General features: G+C 40.1%; 1 protein-coding gene across 20 annotated transcripts in view; it reads left to right on the top strand.

Moving 5' to 3' along the window:
- Positions 1-13,842, top strand: part of NCKAP5 (NCK associated protein 5) — a 1,003,049-nt gene that overhangs the window by 729,077 nt on the left and 260,130 nt on the right. The window lies entirely within an intron of this gene.

Raw genomic sequence — 13,842 nt, 5'->3', positions numbered from 1 at the left:
GCAAATGGATTAAATAAAAAGTAACATCTTTTGAACATCTAGCATGGGGTGTGGTACAATAAGAGGCACTTCTTTTTCTTCTTAGAGTGAATAGCAAAATCTTAAGGGTTATTATCTCTAGGTAAAATTGAGGTAATTTTTCCCCCAGTTTGTAAGAGAAGTGACCCATTAAGGATGTTGACACTGGGTGCTGTGGGCTCTTAGTGTCTTATCACGCATCCAGCTGATAGGATATGACTTCCATCGATTCGTGCTGTGGGCTCTTAGTGTCTTATCACGCATCCAGCTGTTGGGATATGACTTCCATCGATTCCCAAGGGCACAGAGATCCTCCTTTCAGCTAACTAGATGATTTCGTTGCTGCCACTGTGGCCACATCCCCTTGTTCATCTGTCCTGTCTTCCTTCCAAGCAAAGGAGTTGGAGAAACCCCTGACTGTGCTTATGATCATTTCCCCACCCCACCCCTGCCCCCGCCTCACCTTAGCAGGTGGGATCCCCCAGTATTTGTTGATGTAAGTGGGACTATGGAAAGAAATTTCAGGTAGCTCCTTTACTAGGACCATAATTCCCCAGGAACTTATCTGGGTGTAGGGAGTGTGTCATCCAAGAGTTCCCTTCTCCTGTCCCCTGAGGACCAGCAGCACAGCCTTTCCCCAGTGGAGTGTCTTGGCCAACTCAACCCGCTTGGGGCCAGTTTTAATCAAAGCTCCCTAGAAGTCTTTTCTCTGTTGTGGGACCCAGAGCACAAGGCCTTCTCCATCATATCCATAGGTGATTATCCTATGGCTTTGCCTCTGGAATCCAAAGAGCCTCTCTAACTCCTGAACCCATCTCTGCTGCCTGGGTAAGGTCTTCCCTTTGCCCACAGTCCCTCATTTATCCTCTTGGTTCCAGGAAAGCAGTGACTTCTTGGCTGGGGTTGGGCCAAGAGAAAATCCTATGACATGTTCACAATGTCCTTAGAGTCATTTTCTCTTATTTATATAAAGATAGCTCTACGTGCTCAAAATGTCGCTCTTTCAGGACAAAGCATAGAACAGTAGTTTCTTCCTACTGGAAGAGAATATTAAAGTATTACAAGACCATGTTTGCCCACATTGGACACCCTAGTGACAGGAAACTCCCTACTTCCCAAAGTAGCCCATAGCAACATCGTGGTGAGGTCGAGAAGCTTAGCAGATAGCTGAGTTCTAATCCAGGCTACTGCGCTAACCAGCTATGTGGCCTTGGACAAGTTACTCAAGCTCTTCCAGCTGTCATTGCTCTATATTTAAATCAGTATGGTAATGTACCTAACACGGTTGTTGGAAGGATGAAATGAGATGACAATTTTAAGGTCCTTAACACAGAAATTGGCACAAAATAAGGACTCAATAAAAATGTTAGATAAAATTGTATTTAGCTGTCATTCACTTTGAATATCTCTCATTTTTAGAATTACTTCTCTGTGTTTCTCTCCAGCCTGTCTCCCACTAATTCTATCCATGAGTGCTAGATCTGCCTCCTAAGGCCATGTAGAACAATTGAATCCCTCTTTCCCTGACAACTTGTCTCACCCAGGGATAACTCCCATATTCCCCCTGCCCCCAAAACATTTCTTCTTTGGGCTAGATAACCACTGTTTTTCCTGCTCTTGCGTTATAAGACACGGTTCAAGTCCCTGCACCATTCAGATCCATCTCCCTGAATGACCTCATTTCTCCATATGCCTTATGAGTGTGGCATCTGGCCAAACACAACTCAAGTTCCCATCTGAGCAGTGAAGAGCAGAGCAAACTCTCATTCCTCTGTCCCCTCTACACATGCTGCACAACTCTTAAAGCAGACCAAGTGTGCGGTCACACTTCACCCAGCCCCAGGAGGCTACGTACTCATGTCTGCAGTTTCTGAACTCTCATTGGTAAGGTCTTTTCACCCGCCTTGTTCTTACACAGTTGTTTCTGATTTGATCACAGGGCAGCATGTTGACTTCAGTTAAGTTTTACCTGGTTGGGTGGATTCCATTGTCATCGGTGTCTTCTGGCTCTCAGGGCCTTTCTGGAACCTGAAGCTGTTGGCAACATCTGTGCTGTCCACCCTGCTCTGAGTCTGCTGCAGATGTGTTGAAAAGGTGACTCTCTCCACTGGGAAAATGAAAAACTTTATGACCGGCAACATCATTTTTACAGCCAAGTGAACTCCTTTGATAAAATATTCCTCTTTTCTGAGCTTATTTCCTTCCTGTGTGTAAAGAGGGGTTTGGGCAGATTGTAAGCTTTCTCTCAGCTCTTTGCATCTATGTTATCACACTTCCTCACTATACAGAAATAAATATCCTTATTGCCAACTGGTGATTTACTAGCCTTGCAGCTAACATTGGCACATTTTTACATTTAATGTATATTCTTCTTTTGACAAGGTATGTTAAAATGGACTATATTCAAATTGATATGCAATCAAAGAGGATATTTTACATGTGACTTTTAATGAAGTTTCTGTCATAATCTAATCTTAGTTGTTAAAATATGAGAGATTCTTACTTCATTAGTGGTTAAGCCTTGAATGGAAAGATAGGGAGAAATGTCATTGTTTACCAACAGAGAAAACCCATTTGGGTATGTCCAGAGGAAGACAGTAAGATGTTGTGCTTTAACATTGTAAAACTCAGTTCAGACCCTGGTAGGTTCAGACCCTACTTGATTTTAAAGTCCCAGAACCTCTTACTTGAATGAAGTGGATTGGAATTATCAAATAATCACAAAATGACAAGGCATTGTACTTGGAGATCATCAGATTCCTGAATTATTCTATCATTTTAATGACTTCCTGCAGACTAACCAGGTTTTAGCAAACTGTTTCGTTGCTCTTCCTAAGAGTTACTCCCGTTGGCAGACAGAGACCACTTAGTTGCATTGTGTTAGGCAGAGATAAAAAGGCACCTAGGAATTTGTGGTATACTTGATTACTTTGGCCTGGTGAACTTTGCTAATCAGTGCAGCAGGAGAACATTTGAGCCTGAATTTTGCTTGATGTAGCGGAATACCTGAGTGGTCATGTCATCTGTTGGAAATTAAGGTTGATTGGATTCCATAATGAATTATTTTAATCAAGGTTTTGCCCAAATTACTTTAACTCTGTTGTTTCCCATCCACCTTTAAAGCACATCATTATCTTTGTGTCCAGAATTTTCAGGTCTAAATTATATCGGCATCTCAGAAAACGTGGGCTCATGTTTTTAATCGGAGACATAAAATATATATTACAGTTTACACCAAATAAAAATTACAGCAAAATGCAAAACTTAAAAACAAAGTCTAAATCAGTGATTCTTGAACTGTGGTTGCTAGACCAGTAGTGTCGACATCACCTGGGAACTTGTCAGAAATGCAGAGTCTCAGGCCCAACCTCAGCCCCACAGAATCAGAGACCTGGAGAGAGAGTGAGCAGTGGCCAGCAATAAATTTTTTTAACAAGTTTTCCAGGTGATTCTGATGCATACTAAAGTTTCAGAATCACTTATCTAAATTATGTATAATTACCGCTAATAAAAATGTTTTCATGTTTAATGTTTATTGAAAAGTCTAAATCCAGATTGGATATAGATGGCAAGTTAAGAAACCTCCTTTTCTGCTCTGTCAATTAAGATATGTTTATCAAAACTTATTTTTAAGCATCATACATATTCAGATTGTCAAATGTGAATGAACATATATAAAGTTATTTGTTGACTTACCAAAATTAATTAGGAACTATAACACACCCATTTGAGACAAAACAAATAGTTGTAATTGCTTCATTTCATATTTGCCCCTTTATTTAGCATCTTGTAAGATGCTAAAATATTTTTGCCCGAGGGAAGAATATGACATAGATCACAACAGTGATGAATGAACACAGGCAATTGTGACTACATGATATAGAACTACAATGGTTTCTTTCATCAATAATTATTTTTTTAACCAGAAAATGTTTGTATACACTTTGCTGGGAAATGGCAGAAATATGAGTCAGGAGTATTTTGATTGCAAGTAATAAAAATTACCTCAAATTGCCTTAAAAGGAGATAACGGAATTTGTCGACTCATGAAAATGTAACATCCAGTGTTATCAAGTCTCAGGAATTGCTAGACCCAGGTTTCAGGCCATGAGACCAGGAATCATCTTACCTTATTCTTAGCTGTGCTTCTCCCTGGTTTATCTTATTCTCAGGCAGGATCTCTCCAGATAGTAAAAAGGGTCACCTAGGAACACCAGATTTCTGTGTTGCCAGTTCTGCCGCCCCAGTGGAAAGAATGTCATTCCAGCCAACATCCCAGGGCTCACTCTCATTGGATAAGCTTGAAACTGGTTGGACTACACTGATTGTCCAGCATGGGCCATTGCATAACCATGGCCTTGGGACATAGGGTAGGCACTGCCTAAAACTGTATGAATGGACCATGAATGTGGGAAGAGTGGTCCACCAAAGGAAGTCACAGGGAGATGCTGATAGTGCTGGAATGGATAGGTACAAACAGCAGAGGTCCAGTACAATAACAGAAGATGTTTCTTTCCCTGAATACATTCTCTAGTAGATGTAATTGTTTTTCTGCCAGAAATAGCCTTTTGATTTGGAGGCTAAAGAGCTCTAGACTGGGTATTAACAACCCTGTCTTTGAGGATTTGCTCTGTTTCTGACAGTTGTGGGGACTTGGCCAACTTTCACTCACTGTCTCTAGTTTCCAAATCTAGCAACTTGACTTTTAGTTTTCTTACTTTTCCTTTATGTAGCAAATGAATTAATGTAGGAGAAAATATTTTAAAATTTTAATTAATATGTGAATGTAATATTAATGTTTCTTTTAATTATAAATATATGTATCAGTATAAAAGTAAGACAAGTGTAATATAATTGATAATATAATTATCAAATAAATGAAAAAGAAGAAGAAAAGTATCACTTCTTAACACCTCTCTTCCATGGCAAAATGTTAACTTTTTTTTTTCTTTATGGGATATTTTTCTTTTTTTCTTAATTATAATCTTGTGGCATGATTAGAGACCCAGATCTTTGAAAAAGAATAAATAAGTTTTTACTACTTTTTAAAATTTAACATTTCATCATAAGTACCTACCACAATGATACCTACAATGATTCCTACCGTCATTTCAATGGCTGCATAATATCCTGTCAATCATAAGTCATTTTACTACCCTATTATTGAACATTTAGCTTGTTGCTAGTTATTTTTTTTACTGTTATTCAGTTTCTATATTACTTTTTGCTCTTAGAATAGATTTAACCAACTACAAGGATTTACAGGTCATAACCCCATGTCTTTCTATTTGGTATGTTTTAAGTGTAAATACCCCATGAAAGTCTTAGAGTGCAGCAGTGATGACCAAATTTGATCACAGCTAGGGCCCAGTGTTCCCTGAGCCCTGAAGGGTGACCAGAAATGGACTCTGTCTTGAGGACCATCTCTAGTCTCAAGCCCATTATGAGCTCTTAAGTAATCCTGTGGGATTATGCCTGGTACATTAGTTGCATAGTGAATAAAAATAGGCCCTTATGAACAAAATAATGTCTTTTGCTGCAACTTGCATGGAACTGGAGGCCATTATTCTAACTGAAGTAACTCAACAATAGAAAACCAAATATCATATATTCTCACTTGTAAGTGGGAGCTAAGCTATGAGGATGCAAAGGCATAAGAATGATATAATGGACTTTGGGAACTCAGAAGGTAAGGTTGGGATGCGGGTGAGGGATAAAAGACTACTATGTATATATACATATTTTTAGACAGCATCTCACTCCACCCAGGCTGGAGTGCAGTGGTGCAATCTCAGCTCACTGAAACCTCTGCTTCCCAGGTTCAAGTGATTCTCCTGCCTCAGCCTCCTGAGTAGCTAGAGTTACAGGCACCCACCACCACACCCAGCTAATTTTTGTATTTTTAGTAGAGACAGGATTTCACCATGTTGACCAGGCTGGTCTTGAACTCCTGGCCTCAAGTGATCCACCCACCTTAATCTCCCAAAGTGCTGGGATTACAGGTGTGAGCCACCATGCTCAGCCAAAAACTACAATATTGAGTACAATGTACACTGCTTGGGTGATGGGTACACTGAACTCTCAGAAATCGCCACTAAAGAACTTATCCATGTAACCAAAAACCACTTGTACCCCAAAATCTATTGAAATAAAAAAACTGAGAAAAAATAAAATACAAATAAAAATTTAACTAATGTAAAAAAAAATAGGTCTTACAGCACTTGAACAAACAGAATCCCTTTCATGTTTATAAGCAGTGTTGGTGGTGAGTCTCAAGCCCGGAGGCTAGAATGCAGAGAGGGGCCAGAAAGATTTTCCCTCTTCTACCCACCCTACCCATCGTATTATCAGCCCCTCCATGAGTGGTGGTTCTTCATTCATTACTTGTGCATGAATGACATCCAATAAAATTTTCAGTAAGCTGGCTTGTAATAGTTGTAGTTATCTGTTCTGTAGAATGCCTGGCCCAGGCTTCTAATTATAGTGTACTGCCCTCTCAACTTTCCTAATTTATAATGTCAAGATGTGTTTAGTTTTAATAAATTAAGCTGTGGGGAGAAGACTTGAGATCAAAAGTTAACCGTTTAAGTGTTTTTAAAAGGTCATTTTTTTTCATATCATCACTATTAAACAAATGAGGAAGCCAGTAAAAAATTATTCCCTTGTACTTTATTACTTGTTGGAAGACACGATGGTTTCATAATTTAAAAAGTAAAAACTAAACATGAATATACACGCATAAGTAATTCCTCTCCTCCTGTCCTTGTTCAATTGAAAACCTCTAAAAAATGAATTTTCAAACATTTGAATGTTGCAGCTGTACTTGGAAGTGAGAGGGAATGAATGGGCGGGGGCTGGGGCAAGGGACTGATCCTAAGACCACCTTTGTCAATGGTGTTTTGACTTTGCCTCACAGACACCCCTATATCAGTGAGAGGCATTTCTCTCTCCCTCTTTCTCACCTCTCTCCCCCTTCTTTCTCTAACATTCTCTGTTATTCCCCTTTCCTCTACCTTTCTCCAGTAATGCTGTCTTAAAGTATTACTATTCCCTGAGCTGAGGGGGATCCATAGGAAGCAGGTACAAAAGAAGCATTTGGCCATTTTCCTCAGCAGTCTTGGAAAGGGGGCCCTTTACACACAGAGACATGGTGGAGCACCAAGACTTTAACCAGGCAGTCTTCAAAAATGCAGGAATCTGAAGCAAGTGCAGGGAGAGTCTCGGTCTGAGATGACATGGCCAGCCAGTAGCCAGACAGGCATAGAGAACCAGATCTCCTGACTCAGTCCTGAGATCCTTAACCATTCATGGGTCATGGATTACTCTGAAAATACCATGAAAGCCCTGGATTCTCTAACCTGGAAATGCACTCATGTGTATACACATGGTATTTCTCAAATAATTTTTGGGAAACCAGGACTCCTGAAATCTGTTCATAAATTCCACCAGGGTCAGAACCTTTGTTCTCTACTGTATCCTCTGATTCCTGAAATGCCCTATCTTGATTGATTCCTCATGACTGACAGGCCAATAGAGGGGAGATATTTGGGGACAAACAGGACTTTCCCAGCACACCTCAAATCATACCACCTTGACAGCCATCTGTGTAGACCTATGACTGGACTCTCAGGGACAGGAGAAAGAGATGACTTTCAAAATGTTTAGTTTGTGATTTATTTATTGAAAAGGGAGCTTAAAAGCTCAGAGGATAGAATAGCTTTGTTTAGTCCACGTTGAAACATGGCAAGAAGCTGAGGATCTTCTCAACATGTAATGTATCAGAGGGTCCACCCTTTATATTAGCAAATATGGCAGTGCATCAGCATTTATGCTGGGTGAACTTGGTTGGCTAATTTTCTGAAACCTGGCATTTCCTGCTCCTCTCGCTGTTTTCCTCCCTAGAGAGTAGTTACTTTGTGTATTTATAGTGGATGCCAGCCACAAATCTTTGGTGGAAGCCCAATAGTTTACATTCCACTATATCCTGTTGCACACCAGTTGAATAATTCAGACCAATATTGATTTTTGCAAAAGTTCTTAATGGTCTGGCATGTTGCTGTCAGGAAGGGAGATTTTTCTCCCCAAACTTCAGTTGTCTTGCCTCTGTAACAACAAGCAGCAATCAACATTTGGTGTCCCCAGGGGTCATCAAGTTTTTCTATCCACTGGTCCTAATTCCTAACGTATGAGTTTTAGAATGTGAACTCTGAGAACATAAAGCAATATAAGGTGTGACATTTAAGGTGCAGGTAGCACTTAGGAAAGCGTTTACAAAAGTAAGACTCTTCAAATCTCCTTTCCCAGTAAGAAGTGCTGGCCAACAATGTATTACTATTTAGTCCTCTTTCTTTTAAGTAAATGTTTTTAATATGAATGAACACAGTTAGTAAACAGAGGTTTCCATATTTATTAATTACAGCAGTAAGATTTTGTAAGCATCTCCAGCAAATGCGGTCGTTGTTCCGTGCATATTCCCTCAGATCCCTTTACCATGCCCATGCCTACTCCTAGCAGCCAGCACCTGTGTCTCTTTGGGCAGCCTCTCTGTCCCCACATTTTCCTACCTGCAAGAAGAACCAGAAGTTCCTGGGCATTGACGTATTTATGGGGGCAGCTCTCTAATAGTGACTGACTAGAGGAGGGCCAGTAAATTCCCCAGCTTCTATAGGTCAGCAGAAGTTGATCTCAAGTTACCCTCAGTGGGACTTTGCTTAATAGGACACCTTTGCTGGGGCTCTTCCCTTGATGATTCTCACTTCCCTACTCACTCACTGGTTTCTTTTTCACATCATCACTATTAAACAAATGAGGAAGCTGGTAAAAATTATTCCCTGCCTCATAAATCATTTTCACACAAACCCTCATTTCATTATCTGCTTCTGAAGAACCCAATATAATTGATGTCCTTGTAAAATTATAAAGTTGATACATATGCATTTTAGAAAGTAAATAGAAACTATAAAAAAGTAAAAGAAAAAAATACTCTAGATCCTACCACTCAGAAGTAATTACTGTAAGCACATTTGTGTGTATCTTTTTTTTCCATGTGTATGTAGTCTTCTAAATTTTCAATACTCAGATAACAGTTTCTTTTGGTTATATTTTTCTCCAAGTCTAAAGAATTTTTCTTGACATCCTCCCAAACAATAGTTTTCAACTGTGTAGTGCCAAGGGACCTATTTGTGGTGGAGAAAGAAAGAGATGGTGTTGAAAAATAAACGTGTAACCCACCCCCTTGTGCAGCCACATGGAGTGAGGAACCTTTATTATGGGGGTGTGTCTGGCATGGAAATATTATCAGACAAGTGAGTCACACATGGGAAAATGTTAATGTCTCACTACAGAGTATTTCACTCATTCAGGAAATGTACCATAATTTATCCAGTCATTCAGCTCCTTGTTAGTTTGGATTTAGGTTGTTTCTATGACTTTTTAAAGAAATTATATAGAAAATATTCCAGTCTGGGTGCAGTGGCTCATGCCTGTAATCTCAGCATTTTGGGAAGCCAAGGCGGGCAGATCACTTCAGGTCAGGAGTTCCTGACCAGCCTGGCCAACATGGTGAAACCCCATCTCTGCTAAAAACACAAAAATTAGCCGGGCATGGTGGCGAGCGCCTGTAATCCCAGTTACTTGGGAGGCTGAGGCAGGAGAGCCATTTGCATCTGGGAGGCAGACGTTACAGTGAGCTGAGATCGCACCACTGCACTCCAGCCTGGGCGACAGAGCGGGACTCTGTCTCAAGGAAAAAAAAAAAAAAAGAAAAAAAATATTATTTAAGGTAGTTTAACTCTTTTGCCTGAATTATCATTCCTGATTAACGGCACCAGCCTTTACCAGATGTCCCCAGACTTAAACTTCATAGTCCATTTCTTACTCTCTTTGCTTCTCATGAAGTGCGACACCACATCATGTGTAGCTTGTCATTGGCATGGCCTTTGAACTCATCCTCTCTACTCCATCTTCACTGCCAAGGTGTGAGCAAGGGTCCTTGTGAGCACTGGCCCAGATGATGGTAACAACCACCTGTATCTGCTTCTCCTCCTCTGCTCCAACTCCCATTCCACCACTAGTTAGTTTTCCAGAAGGGTCAGTAAAGTCCCCCACCACCCCCAACCTACTGTCAGCTTCACCTTCCACCTCTCATCCGGTGTGATAGACTCGCCCCTGAACATACCGTGTGTTTTCCTACCCCTTTGCTTTTGCTCCCATAATTTCCTGTCCCAGAAAGGGCTCTCTCAATTCCCATACCTACCATTCACCTGTCTAAATCCTATTTTCCTTTCAGAAATCAGCTCTGATGCCACAGTTCCTGTTACAGTTATAATAATTAAGATGCCCTGGCTGCCGGTAACAAAAACTCGGCTCAAGCTGCCGTATGTTCAGAGAAGTCTAGACATAGGTTGAGCTTGTGCTGCAATTTGGTGAAGGCTCAGGCTCCATCTTTCTGTGTAGTTTTCTTGGCTTTTCTCTTTCCATGAGTTAACATCATTCTTAAGATGGCTTGTTTCAAGGTGGATAAATGGCTGTCATCAATCCAATCTACAAATCTACTTAACATATCACCCAAGAAATTTCTCACATGAGTTCCTGAGAAATGCAGAACTATCCTTTACAAAAGCTCCCAGGGAGCCTTCACTTCCCAGATACCTTCATGGACCTAAAATCAATTAAATACTCTTCCCTGAACCAATCTCTTGTAGCTGGGAAAAAAGCCATGTACTGATTGGTTTATCCCTGGGATATATTTCCCAATCACTTTGACAAAGGGGATAACATAACCTTAATTAGATAAGACAAATTAGGGCAGCTACCTGTGAAGAGGGAATCAGTAGTGACCAATCCTATGACTTTTATATATTCACATACAAGAGGTGAAATGGATGTTGTGTAGACAGCCACAGAGTTCTCCACACTCAAATGGGTTCCAGAGGGCATTAGAGATGGCACATCACATTAGGTAACATTTACAACTTCTTGTTTATGAGTCTTAGAGATGATCACCCTTGTCTGGCACCAAATAGGTCTTTCATAAATGTCTAACAAATGTACATGTTTTAATAAATTAAGGTAAAATAAATTGATTTAAAAGGTTTTTTTTCTTTAACTTTGATTTTCATAGTTTTAGTGTGGGGTCATCGTTTACTTTTTTACAAAATTTTCTTTGTTCGAGACAGAGTCTCACTCTCTCACCCAAGCTGGAGTGCAATGACGTGATCTCTACTCACTGCAACCTCCACCTCCAGGTTCAAGCAATTCTCGTGCCTCAGCCTCCCCAGTAGCTGGGATTACAGGTACCCGCCACTAAGTCAGGCTAGTTTTTGTATTTTTAGTAGAGATGGGGTTTCACCCTGCTGGCCAGGCTGGTCTCAAACTCCTGACCTCAAGTGATCCACCTGCCTGGATCTCCAAAATTGCTGGGATTACAGGCATGAGCCAGGAACATTTTTCCATATAGTGATTGTTATTATGTTGAATTATCCATGACTTCACGTAGTTTCTAGTTGCCATCACCAGAGGTATCTAATAATTGGCTGCACACGTATCTATTTTCTCTTATTATGTAGATGTTGGTCCTCAGGGCAAGATTTCTGACTTGGCCATACACCAACAACTTATGCATAAAGTTATAATGACTTTTCTAATGCCATAGTTAAGATTAGAGCAAATCTCAGTATGCTGTATTTGAAATACTTGTTTCAAAGATCTCAAAAGCAAGATCCTGTAGAGAAGAGGTTGGGCTCCACTGGGCAAAAAGCCCCCTTTCATGCTAATATGCCAAATGAATAGACAGTCTGCTGATGCTCTCGACAATTTATCCTGCTCTTCGGGGATTGTGTAGTGAACATCTCCAGTTAAATTAGAGCTATTGTTGTAGCTCTTTTTTTTCCCCCTCTGAAAATACAATTCTTTTCTGAAAATACATTTATGATTCAGAACTTCCTGGCTTCTCAGTACAATCATCATAATGAGGTTGGCCTCCACATGTATATGTAAATCCTAAATACCATTTTTCTGTCTTTAAATTATGGTGACAAAAAAAGAAACTCATACATTTTGATCAGATCAAAGCTATTTCTTTTGGGTTGAAGAATTTTAATTGGGATCACAGCCAAATTGAAGGCTTTTTGCCATTGCCTTTTCTGACATTTCAAAAGAATACTACCTATCTTTAAATACAATTAAAGGCAGTTATCAACAATCCGTGAGAAACACAAAGTTTGATAATTGTTATGCATACTTGGAAAAATTTCCCTTGGATTCCTACCTGAAATTTGGATCTCTAGAGCAAACTAATAGATATATTTAATTCCATTTCCCATTCACTGAGCAGTTCCCATATGTTAGACACCGTGCTAGGAACTAGGAACAGATCAATGAATGAGACCCAGTTCCTCTACCCTCACTCATGGTCTAATGGGAGAGACAGAGAGGTACCATATATTTATAGTGCAAACCATGGTTGTGTATAACTGAAGTGTGGCAAAATATAGAAAAAGTGAGGGTGTTTCAGCTCGTGGTTGAGAGTTAGAAGTAGAGGATAATCCCAGCACTTTGGGAGGCCGCAGCGGGCAGATCATGAGGTCAGAAGATCGAGACCATCCTGGCTAACACGGTGAAACCCCGTCTCTACTAAAAATACAAAAATATTAGCCACGCGTGGTGGCAGGTGCCTGTAGTCCCAGCTGCTCGGGAGGCTGAGGCAGGAGAATGGCGTGAACCCGGGAGGCGGAGCTTGCAGTGAGCCGAGATCGTTCCACTGCACTCCAGCCTGGGCAACAAAGCGAGATTCTGTCTCAAAAAAAAAAAAAAAAAAAAAGTAGAGGATAATCAGGAAAGATTTGCCTAAAGTGTTGATATTGAACTACGCCTGTTTACCTTTAATCTTCTTTTCTTCCCTTGCAGTATCTCATCAGGGTTGCCCCCAGATGGGAACTAAGAATGAATTTTGGTAACTTCCTAGGGATGGTTGCATGACCTTGTTTTTTTCTATGTGTTCTTTAAGCAGTGAGTTCTAGGATGTATATTCAGGGGTATCATAGTATGTTTCCCCTTTTGTGGAAAAAGTAAACCCCTTCTAGGCATAGACTCAGACACAAGAAAACAGCTAGTACGACTGTTTACATGATGTCTGCCTTCTACTGAGCAGTTGTCACCTTTCCCATTGCAGTGTTGCCTTAACCCATCTGGTGAGTGCCATTGGTGTTACCAAATTCTTAAAGACCTTGTTTGGACTTTGGCCTTTAAAAGTGGCCAGTTCTACTCTTCTTAGACTGATTATGCAATTTTTAAAATTGCTTTTCACTCTGTACTTTTTCCCTGTCTCTAACTTGATGCTTACTCTTGGCTTTTTAACAATTAGGGGAACTTTCGCTAAATGACAATGAAGATACACACACCCACACACAAAAAAAAGAAAAGAAAAGAAAAACAAAGAGGAGTGATACTTCTCCAGATCAGAAACTTTTATAATACTTACCAAAAATCTGTCAATTTAAAAACCATGAAAGAAACAAACAAAACAACACAAAAATAGGCAGTAAAGTCTAAAGAAAATAAAGCTGTGGCATATAAAACAGTCCTCCTTTTGGCTTTCAGCATATATTGATTTTTAGCATAGTTACATTTAACAAGTTGCATACAATTGTAATAGGTGATTACCAGTGAGGAGCGCCCTGAGTGGGAACTGAGAACCAAGAGGTAACTGTTAAGAATCCTGTAGGTCAGTAACTCCATAAAGTTTTTCCTGTACGGTGAATATGCACTCTTTTTCAAATGTCTCTAGATGTTGTTATAATTAGTGAAATTTAACTTTACTTAAAA

The sequence above is a fragment of the Homo sapiens genome, chromosome 2 (assembly GCF_000001405.40).
Source record: "Homo sapiens chromosome 2, GRCh38.p14 Primary Assembly".
Taxonomy (NCBI): domain Eukaryota; kingdom Metazoa; phylum Chordata; class Mammalia; order Primates; family Hominidae; genus Homo; species Homo sapiens.
The sequence above is the reverse complement of the archived record's forward strand: the minus strand, read 5'-3'. Positions and strand labels throughout refer to the sequence as shown.